This window comes from Homo sapiens, chromosome 16 (genome assembly GCF_000001405.40).
Source record: "Homo sapiens chromosome 16, GRCh38.p14 Primary Assembly".
In the NCBI taxonomy this organism is placed as follows: domain Eukaryota; kingdom Metazoa; phylum Chordata; class Mammalia; order Primates; family Hominidae; genus Homo; species Homo sapiens.
This window is the reverse complement of record NC_000016.10, coordinates 88,936,623-88,955,501: the sequence shown is the minus strand read 5'-3', so window position 1 is coordinate 88,955,501 and position 18,879 is coordinate 88,936,623. Positions and strand designations below refer to the sequence as shown.

Below are 18,879 nucleotides of genomic sequence, written 5' to 3'. Positions count from 1 at the left end.
TGGGGTCAGGAGCCTTGGGTGGGGTCAGGAGCCTTGGGTGGGGTCAGGAGTCTTGGCTGAGGTCAGGAGCCTTGGGTGGGGTCAGGAGCCTTGGGTAGGGTCAGGAGCCTTGGCTGAGGTCAGGAGCCTTGGGTGGAGTCAGGAGCCTTGGGTGAGGTCAGGAGCCTTGGGCGGGGTCAGGAGCCTTGGCTGGGGTCAGGAGCCTTGGCTGGGGTCAGGAGCCTTGGATGGGGTCAGGAGCCTTGGGTGGGGTCAGGAGCCTTGGGTAGGGTCAGGAGCCTTGGCTGAGGTCAGGAGCCTTGGGTGGGGTCAGGAGCCTTGGCTGAGGTCAGGAGCCTTGGCTGGGGTCAGGAGCCTTGGGTGGGGTCAGGAGCCTTGGGTGGGGTCAGGAGTCTTGGCTGAGGTCAGGAGCCTTGGGTGGGGTCAGGAGCCTTGGGTAGGGTCAGGAGCCTTGGCTGAGGTCAGGAGCCTTGGGTGGAGTCAGGAGCCTTGGCTGAGGTCAGGAGCCTTGGGCGGGGTCAGGAGCCTTGGCTGGGGTCAGGAGCCTTGGCTGGGGTCAGGAGCCTTGGATGGGGTCAGGAGCCTTGGGTGGGGTCAGGAGCCTTGGGTAGGGTCAGGAGCCTTGGCTGAGGTCAGGAGCCTTGGGTGGGGTCAGGAGCCTTGGCTGAGGTCAGGAGCCTTGGCTGGGGTCAGGAGCCTTGGGTGGGGTCAGGAGCCTTGGGTGGGGTCAGGAGTCTTGGCTGAGGTCAGGAGCCTTGGGTGGGGTCAGGAGCCTTGGGTAGGGTCAGGAGCCTTGGCTGAGGTCAGGAGCCTTGGGCGGGGTCAGGAGCCTTGGGTAGGGTCAGGAGCCTTGGCTGAGGTCAGGAGCCTTGGGTGGAGTCAGGAGCCTTGGCTGAGGTCAGGAGCCTTGGGCGGGGTCAGGAGCCTTGGGTAGGGTCAGGAGCCTTGGCTGAGGTCAGGAGCCTTGGGTGGAGTCAGGAGCCTTGGCTGAGGTCAGGAGCCTTGGGCGGGGTCAGGAGCCTTGGCTGGGGTCAGGACACTTGGCTGGGGTCAGGAGCCTTGGATGGGGTCAGGAGCCTTGGGTGGGGTCAGGAGTCTTGGGTAGGGTCAGGAGTCTTGGGTGGGGTCAGGAGCCTTGGGTGAGGTCAGGAGCCTTGGCTGGGGTCAGGAGCCTTGGGTGGGGTCAGGACCCTTGGGTGGGTCAGGAGACTTGGGCAGGGCTGTAGGGGAAGGGGGCTGTCAGAGTAGATGGGTGGCCGGCCTATCATGGTGGTCAGGGTGCCTGTTGTGGTCAGGGGACCTTTCATAGCAGTTGGGGTACCATCGTGGTGGCTGGGGGAGCCCACTGTGGTCAGAGGGCTATCTTGGTCAGTGGTGAGATTTGGGGTCTTCAGAGGAGGAGTGGGAGCTCCTGGGCAGTTCTCTGACTGGCAGCTGTAGAGGGGCCATGACCACACCCAGGCATGAAGGACCAGGACTCTAGATGAAAGAGCTTCCTGCTAGGTAGCCACTGTCCTGACATGGTGTCAGCTGTTAGAGGCCGCCTGCCCTCATTTGCCCAGGGCAGGAGCACAGCCCACCTGCTCTGTGGGCATCTCTGTCCCTGTCCTCACCAGCCCAATGCAGGTGACAAGGCCCATGGCAGCCCCAAAGTCATCTTAAGGGGAGCCATCCCCCTTAAGGGAAACCCAGAGACACATATGATTAAGATTCAGGGGGTGCAGTCACAGCGAAATAAACCCAAATGTTTATTTTCCCGGGAGTAAACTGTGCCTTCAATAGGCAGACATAAGGGTCTCAGGGTGCCGAATACAGCAAAAGGCGCTTTGGCATCCAAGCCACACACAGCCTGGGAGCAGACACCTCACCTCGTCATCGTCCCGGCCACTCCTGCTGGCACTGTCCCCAGCCGGGAGCCCCCAGGCCTCTACATTCCGATCCTGCCAGATCCTGATCCCCACTGCTCAACCCCAGCCTCCCCACACTCAGGGTCCCAAGAGTGGGCGGCAGCTGTGGGGACCATTTTGAGGGCTCCGCTGGGAGCTGTGGGAACCGTTTTGAGGGCTATGCTGGCCTCTGGACACAGTGTCTCCAGGGCAGGGCCAGCTCACCATCTGGGTGGACATGGGGAGCCTGGCTGGCTCTCCCCACGCTCACTCCTTCCTTCGTTCTTCCGTGAACCTTCACCACTGGCTGTGTGCCTGTCAGCCCCGCAGGCCCTGGAAGAAAGGGATGCAAACGTAGAAATGAGGGTCCCTCGGCCTCTCCACCGGGAGCGGGTCTGGCTGAGCATGACAAACCCAGCCGAGGGAGAGAGGCGATGGCCCAGCCCAGGCACGGCACTCCTCATTCCTCCTCCTCTGTCATCGCTGGGGCCAGCAGGACTGGGGGCCGATCTAACCGGCAGACGGAGACCAGGTTGTGTTTTTTCTCGTGGGTGAGGACGGTCACTCATTAGATCATCTGCTCATTCAGCAGCAAACCCGATGGCGGGACATGCCGTCTCGACACAGGCCCTGCGTGGGGGTCCTGGACATGCCGTCTCGACACAGGCCCTGCGTGGGGGTCCTGGACATGCCGTCTCGACACAGGCCCTGCGTGGGGGTCCTGGACATGCTGTCCCCAGGGTGTGGGGGTGGGGGGGAAGGAAGCCTTGAGCTGTGGCTCCAGGGGGTCCGCCAAGTATTTGTTGAGGGAGAACACAGAGATCCGTGAACAATTGTGATGGGCTGTCATGGGGGTATGGGAGGCGTCTCTCCCAGACTCAGGAAGGGTAGATCAGGGAATTCCTGCCTCCCAGCAGGAATGGCCACTCAGCAGGGACCTGAGGCTAAGAGGAGTTTGTGGGCAGAATGTTCTGGGCAGGGGAGCGGTGTGTGCCTGTGAGGCTGGAGCTCAGAGAGGCGATGGGGGCGAGCAGCAGGCACCCCAGGCTCAGGAGCTGAGACTTTATCTCGGTCAGGGAGTGGCAGGGCCGCATTTGTCTTGCTGAAAGCCGTCTCGGTGCCCCGTGGGAGAAGGACTGGAGGGCGGCAACTCCCTCACCCCATGGCCTGGGCATTTGTCCTGCTGAAAGCCATTTTGGTGCCCCGCGGGAGAAGGATTGGAGGGCGGCAGCTCCCTCACCCTGTGGCCTGGGCATTTGTCTTGCTGAAAGCCGTCTCAGTGCCCCACGGGAGAAGGACTGGAGGGAGGCAGCTCCCTCACCCCGTGGCCTGGCACAGCCTCCCCGGGTGTCCTGGCTCCAGCAATGATAGACGGCTTTGTCAGTGCCGGGATGCATGCGGTTTGGAGATTGTCCACCCTGGGGCCTGGCCAGGTATCTGGCTGATAAAAATTAGTCTCTCTGTCTCTGCATAGTAGCGAGCCTGTTCCCATCACTCGGGCTGTCAGCACTCAGGTGCCCAGAGCAGCTTCCGGCTTAGATCTCACAGGCTCCTGGGGCTGCTGGGGCCGGGGAGACCCAAACCCACCTCTGCACAGGGGTCCTGGGCCAAGGGTCTGTGCCAGAATGCTGCAGCTGCGAGTGACAGAAACCCAGCTCGGAGGCGTCAGGGACACCTGGGACTGTGCTGGCTCAAGCACCAAACTATAGGATGGGCAGGGGCACCGGTTTCAGGCCCCACAGACCCAACCATTAGCACACCCTCCGCCGCTCTGCCCACCTTCTCTTCCCAGCGGCTGTCCAGGCCACTCTGGGCTTGCCTCCCACGCAGATCAAAGAAGAGGTCCTTCCTCTCTTGTTCCAGTTCAAAAACTCCCAGGGAAGGATTGTGATTGGCCGCGTGTGGTCACCTGCCCTCCTCCTGGACCAATCGCTGGGGCCGCGGCTGCCTGCATGACTGTCCTGCTAGCCCTGTGCCCACCCTGGGGCCGTGGCAGCAGGTCTGTGACCCGAGCTGGAGCTGAGAAGCCACAGACCCGAGGGGAGGGAATGGCAGCAACCCGGTCGCCACCCTGATTTTGTACTGCAGGTGCAATTTTAAAACTGATTTTTTAATTTAAAAAAGCAAAGATGAAACAAAAATACTTATAGGAAAATTCAAACATACAGGTAACAGAAAAGAAGGTGAAAATAAAATAAGACGCAGCTAATGATACCTCTCAAAGAATTGTATGATAAGGAAATGAGAACATGCAGTCACTCAACAAACAAAGGGAGGGATGGAGACCCAGAAGACAGGTGCCAACACTCGACCCTCTGTGCTGGTGCCAGTCCAGGGGACGGGTGAACAGACCCGGAAGACAGGTGCCAACACTCTGACCCTCTGTGCCGGTGCCGGTCCAGGGGACGGGTGAACAGATCCGGAAGACAGGTGCCAACACTCTGACCCTCTGTGCCGGTGCCGATCCAGGGGAGGGGTGAACAGATCCGGAAGACAGGTGCCAACACTCTGACCCTCTGTGGCGGTGCCGGTCCAGGGGAGGGGTGAACAGATCCGGAAGACAGGTGCCAACACTCTGACCCTCTGTGCCGGTGCCGGTCCAGGCGAGGGGTGAACAGATCCGGAAGACAGGTGCCAACACTCTGACCCTCTGTGGCGGTGCCGGTCCAGGGGACGGGTGAACAGATCCGGAAGACAGGTGCCAACACTCTGACCCTCTGTGCCGGTGCCGATCCAGGGGAGGGGTGAACAGATCCGGAAGACAGGTGCCAACACTCTGACCCTCTGTGGCGGTGCCGGTCCAGGGGACGGGTGAACAGATCCGGAAGACAGGTGCCAACACTCTGACCCTCTGTGGCGGTGCCGGTCCAGGGGACGGGTGAACAGATCCGGAAGACAGGTGCCAACACTCTGACCCTCTGTGGCGGTGCCGGTCCAGGGGACGGGTGAACAGATCCGGAAGACAGGTGCCAACACTCTGACCCTCTGTGGCGGTGCCGGTCCAGGGGACGGGTGAACAGATCCGGAAGACAGGTGCCAACACTCCTGACCCTCTGTGGCGGTGCCGGTCCAGGGGACGGGTGAACTGACCCGGAAGACAGGTGCCAACACTCCTGACCCTCTGTGGCGGTGCCGGTCCGGGGGAGGGGTGAACAGATCCGGAAGACAGGTGCCAACACTCTGACCCTCTGTGCCGGTGCCGGTCCAGGGGACGGGTGAACTGACCCGGAAGACAGGTGCCAACACTCTGACCCTCTGTGGCGGTGCCGGTCCAGGGGACGGGTGAACTGACCCGGAAGACAGGTGCCAACACTCTGACCCTCTGTGGCGGTGCCGGTCCAGGGGACGGGTGAACAGACCTGGAAGACAGGTGCCAACACTCTGACCCTCTGTGGCGGTGCCGGTCCAGGGGAGGGGTGAACAGACCGATGTGGTTCCTGCCCTGGAGAACAGGGAAACGCAGAACAAGCAGAGACAGATCCAGATAAAGAGAGGTGAAGAGAGACGGGAGAGGAGGAGAGGGGGCCAGTCATGAGGAAGAGAAGCAGGGAAGCCGTGTGACTTCGAGAGTGGCGGGGGTTTTCGTTCCTTCGTTTTCTTTTCTTTTTTTTCAGACAGAATCTCTGTCACCCACGCTGGAGTGCAGTGGCACCATTTTGGCTCATTGCAACTCTGCCTCCCGGGTTCAAGTGATTCTCCTGCCTCAGCCTCCCCAATAGCTGGGATTACAGGCACCCACCACCACGCCCAGCTAATTTTTGTGTTTTAGTAGAGACGGGGTTTCGCCATGTCGGCCAGGCTGGTCTTGAACTCCTGACCCTAAGTGGTCTGCCTGCCTCGGCCTCCCAAAGTGCTGGGATTACAGGCGTGAGCTACTGTGTCTGGTCCCTTTTGTTTTCTTCTTGTGGGATTTGCCTACTCATGAAGTTTGTTGAGCGTTATTTTGAGTGCTTGTATTGTTCTTCTCTGTAGCAATGTTTGTGTGCTGGGGCCACTGTCGTTTGTCCCCACACCCACTCCCAGCCCATCTTCTTTCTTTTTCTTTTTTTTTTTTTTGAGACAGAGTCTCGCTCTGTCACCCGGGCTGGAGTGCAGGTGACTCGATTTCAGCTCACTGCAACCTCCGCCTCCCGGGTTCAAGTGATTCTCCTGCTTCAGCCTCCCGAATAGCTGGGACTACAGGCACACACCATCACACCTGGCTAATTTTTGTATTTTTGGTGGAGATAGGGTTTCGCCATGTTGGCCAGGCTGGTTTTGAACTGCTGACCTCAAGTGATCTGCCCTCCTCGGCCTCCCGAAGTGCTGGGATTACAGGTGTGAGGCGCCGCGCCCGGCCTCCCAACCCATCTCTTATCGGGGTCCCCTGTCTCTTTCAGGACATGGAAGTTGCTCATGCCTACACGGCCAAACCCCTCCAGCTTCTTAAAATTTTTTCAGAGTTTCTCGGCTGCCTTAATTTTAAACTGGTATTATATAAATTGCTCTGCTTTTTTCTCCTAATCCTTTCACTGTTCCAGTTTTTCACATTTTATTCTTTAACCCAAGTGGAGTTTATTTTTCCAAGTGAAGTAAGGAGTATATAATTCATTTTCCCCACATGGGGCAGTTGTCCTGACACCATCTACTGGGGAGTTTGTGCTTCTCCAGGGATTTTAAATGCCACCTCAATCCCATCCACATTCCCTTTTACACACGAGCACCGGCTGCTTTTCCTACGGGACACTTCCGATTTCCAACTGTTTGTGCTTGGCCTGGTTCTCGTGTGAACTTCAACAAAGACAAGAGAGAACTCTGAACTTGTCTTTGAGCCACATTGCAAATGTGTAGGCCAGCCAGCTCTTAGCCCCGTTTTACAGGAAAAACTGAGGTTTGGCAAGCTTCAGTAACTTGCTTTCTATTGGATATGGAGAGTGAAGGAAGAAAGAAATGAATACGTGAATGAAGCCACTTCACAATTAGGAACCTCATTCTGCAAAAGCAGCGATGCCGATGTGAGTCAGGGGAGAAAGCCAAGAGACACTCCTGAGGCAGGGAAGCCTCCTGTCCGGAGCCCGGACTCCCTCTGCTTTAGGGTTCCTCCCTGCCTCCGGGAGGGTCTCCTTGACCTTGTGGGCAACTTGAAGCCGCGTCATCTGGTGCCCACACCAGACGGCCCAGGCTGACGGCCAAGGCAGAACCTGCTTGGGCCAGTGTGGGTCCTTTTCCCAGCTACCCCTGCACAGTCACCCTCTCCCAGTTCCCCAAGAAAGACCAACGTCTCTCTGCCTGGGGCCAGCCTGGTGCCTTGCCCCCAGCTCCCCACTCGCCACGAATGTGTCTCTGCTGCAACCTGCTGATTTCTTGTCTTTGCATGAAACAGAATTGAGGGGGGACAGAACCGATTTGTCAGCTGATAGTTATTAAAAATGACTTTGATGACCAATCACCACGTGGCTTGCGGCATCTGACTCTCAGAAGGAGGTCACAGTGAGATGGTTAGGACACAGCTCCCGTTCTGATCGAGTTATTTATGGGACTGAAGATTCTCTGGCTTTCACATTAAACACCCACCACGGGAATGGAATTAATGTCAAATCCTGTCTTTTTCTGGCAGTATTATTCATGCATGAATACACAAACTACTACCAAAAAGTGCCCCTCCCTCCTTTTACGAGATGTCTTCCAACAAAAATTTACTTTGTATCTTTATTTTTATTTTTGAGACAGGGTCTCGTTCCATCACCCAGGCTAGAGTGCAGTAGCGTGATCATAGCTCCCTGCAGCCTTAACCTCTTGGGCTCAAGCAATCCCACTGCCTCAGCCCCCTGAGTAGCTGGGACTACAGGCACGCACCACCACACCCGGCTAACTTTTTTATTATTTGTAGAGATGAGGTCTTGCTATGTTGCCCAGGCTGGTCTTGAACTCCTGGGCTCAAGCGATACTACTTCCTTGGCCTCCCAAAGCATTGGGATTACAGGTGTGAGCCACCAAGCCCAGCCTACTTTGTATCCTTATTAGTTCTCAAAATGTGTAATACATTCACATTGTTTGTATCGGTTGTATACTACCAATAATTATAACGATAATCCAGCCCAGGAAATAAATTTTAACATAGGAAAATGTTTAAATCTTGACATTCCAACTATGTACCTAGTTTTGTACGATAGGGGAATCAAAAGACTTTCAAACATGAAAACATATTAGGATAAAAATCGGCTGGGTAGAATGGAAGGAGGCATTAAGGGAGAGAAGGGCCATGTAGAGATTCAGGCGCTGCAGAAGAGTCTGTTTGTATCTGTCTTTTAAACGGCAAATAAAATGTCATTGATATCCTCATTTTTGTCTGCTGAATTTTTTAAGTTAATAGATTTTATTCTTTAGCGTGGTTCTGGGTTTACAGGACAACTGGGCGGAAAGCGCCGAGTTCTCATTACTCTTTCCGACTTGTTCCCTAGTGGGGGGTCCCTACATTGCACCTGGCACTGGTGTGATACATTCGTTACAACCGATGAACCAATACTGACACCTTTTCATTAACTGAAATCCATAGTTTACATTGGGCTTCTCTCTTGGTGTTACATTCTATGTGTCTAGACAAGCATATGACTTGCGTCTACCATTAGACTGTCATACAGAATAGTGTCACTGCCCTAAAAATCCTCTGTGCAGTCTGGGCAACACAGCAAAACCCTGTCTCTACAAAAAATAAATACAATTAGCTGGGGCTGAGATGGGAGGATCGCTTGAGCCTGGGAGGTCAAAGGATGCAGTGAGCTGTGATCACGCTACTGCACTCCAGCCTGGGAGACAGAGTGAGACCCTGTCTAAAAATAAACAAACAAAAAAACTCAGCCAGAAGCAGTGGCTCGTGTCTGTAATCCCAGCACTGTGGGAGGCCGAGGTGGGCAGATCATGAGGTCAGGAGTTCGAGACCAGCCTGGCCAACATGGTGAAACCCTGTCTCTACTAAAAATACAAAAATTAGCTGGGCGTGATGGTGGGCGCCTGTAATCCCAGCTACTCGGGAGGCTGAGGCAGGAGAATTGCTTGAACCCGGGAGGCAGAGGTTGCAGTGAGCCAAGATCATGCCACTGCACTCCAGTCTGGGAGACAAGAGCAAGACTCTGCCTCCAAAAACAAACAAACCTCTCTGCTCTCCCTACTCAACCTTCCCTATTCTATAACCCCCTGAAAACCACTGACCTTTTTACTACTTCCATCATTTTACATTTTCCTGAATGCTATTGAGTTGGAATCAGACAGTATATAGCCTTTTCAGATTGACTTCTTAGCAATATTCACTTTTTTTTTTCTTTTTGAGATGGAGTGTTGCTCTGTTGCCCAGGGTGGAGTGCAGTGGCATGATCTTGGCTCACTGCCACTACAACCTCTGCCTCCTGGGTTCAAGCAATTCTCCTGTCTCAGCCTCCCAAGTAGCTGGGATTACAGGCACCGCCACCACGCCCAGCTAATTTTTGTATTTTTAGTAGAGACGAGGTTTTGCCATGTTGGCCAGGCTGGTCTCGAACTCCTGACCTCAGGTGATCCGCCCCCTTCGGCCTCCCAAAGTCCTGGGATTACAGGTGTGAGCCACCACGCCCGGCCATCAATGTTCACTTTCCATGGCTTGATAGCTCACTACTTTTGTCATGGATAACACTCTATCGTCTACATATGCCACAGTATTTTATGTATTCACCTGTTGAAGGCGGTCTCAGTCGCTTCTAAGTTTTGGTAAAAACGAATGAAACTTCTATCAACATTAATGTGCAGGGTTTTGTGTGGACATTAGTTTTTAACTCATTTGGGTAAATACCAAGAAACGTGAATGCTGGGTGGCGTGGTAAAAGTGTGTAGTTTCATAAGAAACAGTCAAACTGTCTTCCAAAGGGCTGTACCATTTTGCATTCCCGTCGGCAATGAATGACAGCTCCTGTTGCCTCACATCCTCACCGGCATCTGGGGTTGTCCGTGTGTTGAGTTTTAGTTATTCTAACAGGCGTGTCGTGGCCTCTCGTGGCTGTGCTGACCCACTCTCTAGTGGCAAGGCTGCTGGGCATCGTTTCCTGTGCTTATTTGCCAGATCATCTTCTAGATCTCTTCTCTGATGAGGTGTCTATTCAGATCTTTTGCTCATTTTTAATGGGGCTGTTTGTTTTCTTATGGTTTGGTTTTAAGAGTTCTTTGTATATTTTAGATAACAGTTGTTCATCAGATATGTGTTTCCCAAATATTTTCTCCCAGTCTATGGCCTGTCTTTTCATTCTCTTCATAGTGTCTTTTGCAGAGCCGAAGTATGAAATTTTAATGAAATCCAACCTGCCAAATTTTTATTGTATGCATCATGCTTTTGGTGTTATATTTAAAAACTCACTGTTCTAGGTAGGGAGCTGAGTGAAAATGCAGGTGTTTAAGACGAGTTTATTCAGATATTTTTAATGAACGACAGTGGCTATCAAATTGCTATGGTATCTAGAATCCATTAGCCACCCGCTTATTTTTAAATATCTATACCTATAGTGTATCAGACTTTCTATTCTTGGCAGCTATCTAAACTTTTGTTGCAGAGTTTTAGTTATAACAGAAAATGTTTGAGAGTCTATAGTGCTCAGAACTATTTTCTGAAGGTCAGCAACAGTGATGGCCTGGCCTCCCGCTGGACCACGCTGGCCTGGCAGGACTCCAGCTCTGCCAAAGACCAGCCTGTGTTCTGAGATTACTCAAGCTTTCTGGGTCCCGGTGTTCTCCTCTGGCAAACAAGGCTGGTGGCAAGACCTACCTCCTAGGGTCACGGAGGGCACATGAGAGGGCCTAGCGCCTGCCCTTTGGCCAGGGCCCCACAGACAGCGAGTCTTACCTGGTATCAGAAGAAGGGGCCATGACTGCGGGGAGGTGACAGTGCAGGGACGCCTGTGGCAAGTGTTTATAAACTGCGTCTTTATCCAAACCTTGAGCTGGGCACTGTTGGGTGGTTGAGAGGGAAATCAGATGTGGGTGCTGCCCTTTGGGGAGGGGGATCAGGATGGCCAGAAGTGCAGTTGGCAGGACAGAAGGCTGCAGTTGTTTTCCTGAGGGCAGCAGGGTGGGGCCTCAGAGGCACACCCAGCACAGGTCAGCAAAGCTGGGGCTGCCCCGCTGTGCGCCGCGGGCCCTAGAGCCAGGCACGGTCTCCCAGGGCTTCCATGGGTGTGTGATCGGGGCACCAGATGCTGATGGGGAGTCAACTTTACTTGGAAACGCTGCCATGCCATGAGGAGGGGAGGTGGTTTCCTTTTTTTTTTTTTTTTTTTTTTTGAGATGGAGTCTCGCTCTGTCACCCAGGCTGGAGTGCAGTGGCGTGATCTCGGCTCACTGCAAGCTCTGCCTCCCGGGTTCAGGCCATTCTCCTGCCTCAGCCTCCCGAGTAGCTGGGACTACAGGCACCTGCAACCACGCCCGGCTAATTTTTTGTATTTTTAGTAGAGACAGGGTTTCACTGTGTTAGCCAGGACGGTCTTGATCTCCTGACCTCATGATCCGCCGGCCTCGGCCTCCCAAAGTGCTGGGACTACAGGCGTGACCCACCGCACCCGGCCGTGGTGGTTTCTTTTAAGTGAATTGAGCTCCTGCCTCTACAGACAGCGACACACTGGGAGCTCCATGGGCACACCCTCGAGCTCCCTCCTCCACGGCTCTGCCCCCTCCCGAGCCCTGAGTGTGGCCCTCCGAGGTCCTGCTCGCCCGTGGTCTGTCTCCCGCACAGGTGACGCTGGCCTTGTCGGACAGACTGCAGACATCTTTCACATAGGGCTGGTAGTCTCCTCCTTAAATGTCCCCTCGAAATGCCCAGGAGCTGTGACTTGGCCGCATCCAGGGCAAGAAACCAGTTCTTGGATAAGGCAGCAGGAAGTCGGTGTGGCTGAGAGGCTCAGCCTCTCCACCTGTAAAATGGGCGTTCCGGGAGCATCCGCACAGCACGGGGGGAAATGCAGAGACGGTGCCCAGCTCTGTGCCAGCTACTGCCAGGACCATCTGACCACCCTGTGACCGCTGGGCTAGGCGTCAGGCTGACCCACTCACAGCACTAAAGGAAGCCCTCCTGCCTGCGATATCCCTTTCTTCTCTACCACGCCACCACAGCTCTCCTGAGTAGGGAGGAGGGGCTGCGGTGGGGCAGGTGCAGCGCCTGGGTTGTGGTGTCTGATGGCTGCAGTGGTATCTTCAGTGCCTTCAGGTCTGTCACTCCTCAAATGGTTGTGAGCACCCTGTGTAAGTCAGAGATGTTGCAACTGGTCACTTAACACCCGAAGCCTGCGGTCCAGAGAACCGAGACCACGGACGTGCCGCTGGTGCTGGGTGAGGGCTTCCGGCCCAGGTCCAGGCCAGCTTCTGCTCCCAGGCCCTGTGGGCAGCCACAGCTGCCGCAGGCATTGTTTAGCTCACAACCCGACTGACTTCAGGGTGGTTCGCTGCTGAATTCTCCCACCTGCCCCCACTCCCACGTTTATGTTGCTTTGTAAAATCTCTGAAACCTGGGGGCGTTTTAGGATTATCACCGGCAGAATGTTTTCCTTTCTTAGTGGCACACAAAATAATGGTGCATCTTAAAATCCACTGTGCCTCAGAGTCCATGAAGCCAGGGAGCCAGGATGGATAAATTTCGAGCATAAAATCGGTAACCTTAGGCAACACACCCACCGCATGGGGACTCGCACTGTACTGTGGGGTGGGCTCAGAACTCCCCCTCCATTCCACAAGGACTGGGCTGAGCCACATGGGCAAGCACCATGTTACGCACAGTCTGAAAACCTCCATTCCACAAGGACTGGGCTGAGCCACATGGGCAAGCACCATGTTACGCACAGTCTGAAAACCAGGAGAATGAAGGTGCTTGGCGTTTGTGTCACAATTTTCACGGAGTCTGGCTGGCTTCAGACAGCACTTCCCACAGCCAGGAGCTGGAGGAACTGGCTGGGCCACACTGCGGTTAGTGACCCAGCTGACCAGACCGCTGCCCAGGGGCTGCAGGAGGACATGGTGCTGTCCTCCCCCTCACGGAGCCCCCGTTCTGGGTTTCCGTCCCCTTCCTCTGCCAGCTCAGGTGGGTAGAGCCAAGTCCATGAGAGGGACGAGGGGTGGGGGGAAAAGGCCCGCGGCACAAAGCTGGAATGGGCCATGTTTCGCACGTTGCCATATTTTTATATTGGGGATTGGGGACCTCGGACCTTCACATGCAAAATTTATGCGAAATGAGAGGCAAACCAAGGCCCTGCTGCTCTGAAGGTCTGGCCTCTTGTGTCTCCTAATGGTGACCCCTGGGCCCCCCAGCCGCTTGTGTCTAAAGTAAGAGCACGTGTGCGTTGGGGCAGGAAACAGGGAAAAGGCGCCAATTTTACTAAAATGTACTAAGCAGGCAAATGCGCCAGACACGCCACAAAGTACTTTAGGGAAAGGCAAAGCGGGCGGGGGAGGGGGCCTGCCGGCAGAGAAAGTGCGGAGAGGGCAGAGCAGCGGCTCGGGGCGTTTCTGCAGGTGGACATGAAACGCACGATATGCAAATGAATGCAAAGTGTATGCAAATGACCTGGCCCCGGGACCCGCGGGAAGCGAGGGCTTCGCATCGGACCCGCCCGGGAGGCTGAGCGGGGGGAGCGCGACCCCTGCCGGCCACGCACGGAGGTGGCCCCGGGCCGGGCCAGGCGCCGCGCTGGGGGCGAGCGCGGGGCAGGGGGCGGGGGCGGCGGCCGAAGGAGCGACCTCCCCCCCAACTCCCCACCTCCCCACCCCCCCCACACCCCCCAACTCCCGTTCAGCCTCCCGCGCGGCCGCCAGAAGCCGCGGTTCTAAAGCTGCGAGGCCCGCGGCCGCCGACTGCTGCGAGGTGGGTGTGCGCGGCCTGCGGAGGGGGAGAGGGTGGGCGCAGGCGGGGGCCGCCCCCCAGAGCCGCGCCCCCTCCACGGCGCCCGCACCCCTCAACCTCTTCGCTCGCCCCCGCCTGCGCCTCCCCGCGCCGCCCCCCGCAGGAGGCGGCGCGCCCGTCGCCCCCTCCCCGCGCCCCTCTCCCCTCTCCCTGCTCCCGGCGCTCCGCACAGCCCCGGCCCCCACGGCCAGTTCTTAGGGCGCCGCCCCGGTGGCGGAGGCGTTGGGGGCGGCTCTCGGCGGCGGGGAGCCCCTCTCCAGGCCGGCGCCCCGGGGCGGAGCTGAGCGCCATGGGCGCCGGGCGGGAGGCAGGTGGCGCAGCGGCGGCGGCGGGGGGCAGGAGGCGGAGGCGGAGCGCGCGGGGCGGGGGCCGCGGGGCCCCGTGAGACTCTCGGGCGAGCGCGCGGCGTTGGAGCCACAGGCGCGGCGGCTGGACCCGGCGCGGGCCGCGGAGGCCGGAGACCGCCCCGGGCGGGGTGCGCGCTTTGTTCCCGCGCGGGGTGGCCGGAGCCGAGTCCCCGGCATGGCCCAGGCGGCCGCCCCGCGCGCCCCAGCCCCGCCGCGCGCCTGAGCCCGGTGCGGCGCCAGAAGACAGCGCGCAGCCGCCCCTGAGTCGTGGAGGCGGGGACCAAGCTGGAAGGAGCAGCGACTCCCGGACCGAGTCGCGAGTGTGCGCCGTCCGCCGCCCGCCGGATCCCCCGGACCCCCCGACCGTAAGTGCCGTGTCCGCCCCGCGCGCCGCCGCCGCTCTACCCCGACTCCGCCCGCGGCTGCCGTTCCCGGATCTGCGCCGCAGCCGCGCCGAGCGCACGGGCCGTTTTCAAAGTTGGTGCCCACGGCAGGGTGGAGCCAACCCGCCCAGCGCCCACCCATCCGGGCTGAGCGCAGCCCCCCGTGAGCAGAGCCTGACCTGCGGGGGCTGCGGCGAAACTTCGAGGGGAACGACGCGCCCGGGCGCTGGGAGTCTCGCGGGCTCCCCTGGGGCCGCCCGGTTTTCCTAACAAAGGCCCCGCGGCCCGCGTGACGGAGACCCGGGAGTGGGGAGGCCGAGGGCGGCCCTGGGAGAGGCAGAGGTGGCGGCGGCCGGTCTGGGGAGGGGGGTCCAGAGCTCCCTCCTGCTCCTCTCCCTCCTGCCCGGGTCCCCGGCGCTGCCCCGCAGGCTAAAGGTGGTCCGCGCTGGGGGTCCTGGACCCTGCCTGGCATGCGGTCCCTGGGGTCCTGACGGCCGCGGGCCTCGGCACAGCCGGGTGGCAGCGATGGCGCGCACAGCCTTTGGGAAGCGTCCATCTGTGTTGGGCAGGCCCCGAGCCAGGCTGTGGGAACAGCGGGGAGGGAGGTGTGAGCCTCTGTGGAGGGACAGATGGCTGGAAACGCAGCCCTAGACGGCTGACTTCACTTACGTGGAGCAGAAGGCGGCCAGGCTGGTGGCGGCGACTCAGAGCCGCTGGGCTCCGAACACACTGCGGGGCTGGCGCTCCCCCGCCCCTGCGTCCGCCCGTGTGTGCTGGGGCCGCGGCCGGGCTGTGCCCACCCCTCATTCACCCTGTGGGCTGAGGCCGGCTGACTTCAGGCCCATTCCAGGGCCCAGGAAGAAAAACCTTTCCCTTGAAAAGAGAGCACGTCGCGTGCTCCTGTGGGTGGGGGCTTGTCGGTAGCTGTCAGGCTTGTGGCCCCAGCCAGGGTGCGGCTTCTGTGCGTCCGGCCCGGGTGTGCGTTTCCTCTCCTGGACGAGGAACAGGAGGTTCCCAGGGCAGCCACCTCGGCGGACGGGTCGGCCGGGGATAAGGGGCGGGGGCCGGTTTTTCGGTACCTGGCATTGCCCTTCAAGTTTCTGAGAGGTTGGGGAAACTTCTTGAGGCTGGGACTCCACTGTGTCCCCCAGACCTGAAGGGGCGAGGGCTGGGCCTGAGCGCGTCCGACCCTCACCTGCCCCTGGCATCGCTTTCGCGGCAGGGGAGGAGGCAGGAAGGCCCAGCCCACAGTTCCTGGGCACGTTCTTCCGTGGAGGGCTGGCTCTGTGTGCCTCTGGGGTCGGGCTGTGTCCTTTGCCCCCGCTCCAGTCTGGGCGTTGGGAGTCAGATACTTCCACAGGGGCCAGACAGGCGGATGCTGTGCAAGCCGGAGCTGCCGGGAGGGTCCTGTTCTGTGCGGCCGACAGCACCGTGCCTGGAAAAGCCATGCTATTTGGGACCGTCCTGCTGGGCAAGCGGCCACTCTTCCACACTGAAAGGGAAACAGAAAGGAAGAAGCGCCCAGAGCAGGAGGAACAGATGTGGCCTCCACCCGAGATTGGGGCTCAGGGAGGGAAGAGAGTGTCGCATCAGGATCAGTCTTCCGGCAGGCTCCATCTCTCCTGGGATGTGCTGGGATCCTCTAGTGACAGGGGAGAAGGGAAGTTCACATGAGTGGTTCGTGGTGCTGGGGCCGTGCTGTCACCACCTGTGAAGCCAGGGCTGGTGAGTGGGAGGGCTTTCCCCAGACATCGCCTTCCAGAACCCTCTGGGGCTACGAAGCCACACACCAGCCGCCCGAGCCCCCCTGAGCTCTTCCCCTGCCGCCCGCTATCTGCGTAATTCAGTTACCACCTCCAGGAAATCTCTCTGGTTTGGCTCCACGTATTTTCATTTCTGCATGACTGGAAGAAATTAATTTTTCTCCCTACGCGAGGATCTGGAGATGCTGCCAGCAGGCTGGGTCACTAATCCCCAAGATCCCAGCCCTCAGGGCTGCAGTGGGGAGGGCCGGGCCTCGCCGCTGCCGCCTCTGGGGTGGCAGGGAGGGTGTGAGGTGGGTGAGGCATTTCCCTGCCAGCTTCTGGAACCATCTTGGGGCTCTCCGCTGGCCTCCCCCCTTCCCTGCTGCACCGTTAGCAGGTTGACTTTGGGGTTTTCTGATTCATCCTCAGCCTCCCACAGTGCCAGGGTGGAAGGATGGTGCTTGAATTAAGTGGCTCTGAATTTCCTTCCCTGGCAGGGAGGAACCAGAAGCAACTTCAGCGTGCCCCAGTGCCGTGTGTGCCACGCGGGTGTTCAGACCCAGCATGGAGGGACTAGCAGGGCCTTGTTATTGGTGCCACAGGTGAAGGCGCTGGCGTCTCCATGGGGCTGCTCTCCCGGCCCGCACTTGCTGCACTGCCTGCCTGTGGCCTGTGTCTCCTGCTCACAGGGTCGTGGAGCCTTCCTGGGTGGGTCTTAGAGCCTACAACAGCGCTGGGGCTTACACGCACTGTCGCGTCCCTGTAACACCCACGAGGGCCGTGGAGCGTTCCCCGTCTCCGACGCCGGGAGAGGTACAGTCACTCCACAGGTCATGCAGGGAGCCAGTCTGACGGCGGGCCGCAGCGAGTGTCTCCAGGCCCCTGTCCAGCCCCGCCCAGTCCCTGTCCAGCCCTGCCCGGGCGTTCCTTTGCCTGTGCTGTCGGTCCCCATCCCCAGCCTGCCGGGCCACATTCTTAGAGCACCTGAGCACCCCCAAGGGACTGGGGGATCTGGTGGCTGAGGGCTCGGTCATGACTCGGGGTTAGCACTGTAGGTGCAAAAGCCCTCACCTGGATACAGGCCCTGGGGCCCATCTGGGGTCAGGGCACGGGTGGGAGAACTTGACCTCTGCCCTGCCTGGGTCATGGAGCCCCAAGGCCAGCCTCATCCCGGCTGCTCTAGGTCTGCACCTCTGGCCAGCCCCACCTCTGCTTCCTGCCCTGCTGTGCAGGGGAGGGAGGTCGTTGTTGCTAAAGACCCTCCAGAAGCCACTGGAACATTGCCCGGCTATTATCACAGACATGGCATCCAGTGTTCATAGAAATCCACGTCCAGGCAACCGATGTCACCTCCCAGGCTGGCCCCAGGCCCCTGGGGACGGAAAGGACCTAAACTCTACAATTTGTCAATGCCGGAGGGTGGCTTTGCCACCACTTCACTTACAGGACAAAAAGTGCCTGTCCTCCAGTGCTCATTCCCTGGGCAAGTATTGATCGAACACCTACTCCATACCAGGCGGGGGCAGAGTCACATGCAGTGAGAGGCACCCAGGCCCTGCATTGGATCCTCACGGCAGCCAGCCCTGAGGGCACCGCTGCTGCCCCACTTTCCAGACCGGGAAGCCGAGGCCCACAGAAGTTCCTAGCTCACAGCGCAGGAGCCCGACGCGGGTGGGTACCACGGGGCTCTGTCTGTGACACATCCAGGGTGGTCAGGCCCCTGGAACTTCCCACTGAGTTCTGACACGGGAGGGCCAGCGTGGGGACGGCAGGGAGTGGGCCGGGAGTGTGCAGAGTCCAGTGCACACTGTGGGCTGGGACCCGCTGCCTCGCAGGGGCAGGAGAGGGGTGGAAACACAACTGCTGGGGTACTGGCTAGGGAGGTGCAGGCCGCTTGAGGGCAGCTCAGAGGGAGGCTCACGACAGCGTCACCATCCCTGGTGTCAGGGCCAGGTTGGGTGGACACCACGCTGTTCGTCCACCTCGTGGCTCAGTCTCTCTGGGAAAGCCTGCGTCAGTGAACGACACCCCAGATCCTTTCCTGGGGGTTTTATTCTCCACCTCCTGACTTTCCTGGGCAGAGTGAGAAGGCCTGGTTCTGCTTCTGCGCTTCCGTAGGCCGGGACCTTCCTTTCAGCGGAGCCCAGGCCGTGCTGCGGGAAACAGCCCACCGGGCAGGCCTGGGAGGGCCGCCTTAGCCGAGAGCAAATGCAGGCAAGGGCTTTGCTTGTCTGGAAAAAAAATTCCTGGAGTGGAAACCGCCCTTGTAGCATCAGTGGAAAAGACTCAGGCGGAGACCTGGCAGTTGGGCTGGAAACTGACGATGAGGAGAGTGAGAGATAACTGCTCCCCAGTCCCCACTTCTGAGCTCGCAGCTTGCCCCGAGGGTGGGAGCTGGGGACTCAGGACCCGCCGGGATCCGGCTTTCCGCCTGTGCTGTGGCAATGAGTTTCCTGTGGCAATAAAACAGAAGTTCAGACTTCTGCTTTTTGTAATTCGTGGGACCTCACTGAGAGCCAGATGTCACTGGGAAGGAAAACAAAGATGAATTTGGCCGTAATAAGGAAGATGTCTCCCGGAGCCAAGGCACCAGCAGCCCAGCCGGCAGCTCACCCCGCACTGCTGTCGGCCGCC

The 18,879-nt window shown here is 58.6% G+C and overlaps 1 protein-coding gene and 2 long non-coding RNA genes across 8 annotated transcripts in view, besides 6 other annotated features; 2 read left to right on the top strand and 1 right to left on the bottom strand.

The window, feature by feature from the left end:
* CBFA2T3 (CBFA2/RUNX1 partner transcriptional co-repressor 3) overlaps positions 1-18,879 on the top strand; it is a 102,350-nt gene that overhangs the window by 21,706 nt on the left and 61,765 nt on the right. Inside the window, exon 1 of one of the 6 annotated variants that reach the window (NM_175931.3) lies at positions 14,152-14,482. The exons of the other annotated variants lie outside the window; for them this stretch is intronic. The gene's annotated coding sequence lies outside the window, so the exon portion shown is untranslated. Of the gene's footprint in view, positions 1-14,151; positions 14,483-18,879 lie in introns of those variants that run through there. 6 annotated transcript variants of the gene reach the window in all.
* On the bottom strand, positions 1,720-16,231 carry LOC100129697 (uncharacterized). The gene is made up of 2 exons (NR_168285.1): positions 15,170-16,231; positions 1,720-5,245 (listed from the first exon to the last, which is right to left on the bottom strand). It is a non-coding gene; the product is annotated as an uncharacterized LOC100129697 (long non-coding RNA).
* Positions 13,275-13,614: a silencer, noted in NCBI's record as "silent region_7889". NCBI's record gives its function as "represses an Ori minimal core promoter by ATAC-STARR-seq in GM12878 lymphoblastoid cells {active_cell/tissue: GM12878}" and the evidence as "EXISTENCE:reporter gene assay evidence [ECO:0000049][PMID:35858748]".
* Positions 13,875-14,224: a silencer, noted in NCBI's record as "silent region_7888". NCBI's record gives its function as "represses an Ori minimal core promoter by ATAC-STARR-seq in GM12878 lymphoblastoid cells {active_cell/tissue: GM12878}" and the evidence as "EXISTENCE:reporter gene assay evidence [ECO:0000049][PMID:35858748]".
* Positions 14,255-14,324: a silencer, noted in NCBI's record as "silent region_7887". NCBI's record gives its function as "represses an Ori minimal core promoter by ATAC-STARR-seq in GM12878 lymphoblastoid cells {active_cell/tissue: GM12878}" and the evidence as "EXISTENCE:reporter gene assay evidence [ECO:0000049][PMID:35858748]".
* Positions 14,435-14,614: a silencer, noted in NCBI's record as "silent region_7886". NCBI's record gives its function as "represses an Ori minimal core promoter by ATAC-STARR-seq in GM12878 lymphoblastoid cells {active_cell/tissue: GM12878}" and the evidence as "EXISTENCE:reporter gene assay evidence [ECO:0000049][PMID:35858748]".
* Positions 15,185-15,344: a silencer, noted in NCBI's record as "silent region_7885". NCBI's record gives its function as "represses an Ori minimal core promoter by ATAC-STARR-seq in GM12878 lymphoblastoid cells {active_cell/tissue: GM12878}" and the evidence as "EXISTENCE:reporter gene assay evidence [ECO:0000049][PMID:35858748]".
* LOC107984871 (uncharacterized) lies at positions 15,399-18,724 on the top strand. Its single transcript, XR_001752305.3, has 2 exons — positions 15,399-17,916; positions 18,364-18,724. It is a non-coding gene; the product is annotated as an uncharacterized LOC107984871 (long non-coding RNA).
* Positions 15,825-16,014: an enhancer, noted in NCBI's record as "active region_11377". NCBI's record gives its function as "activates an Ori minimal core promoter by ATAC-STARR-seq in GM12878 lymphoblastoid cells {active_cell/tissue: GM12878}" and the evidence as "EXISTENCE:reporter gene assay evidence [ECO:0000049][PMID:35858748]".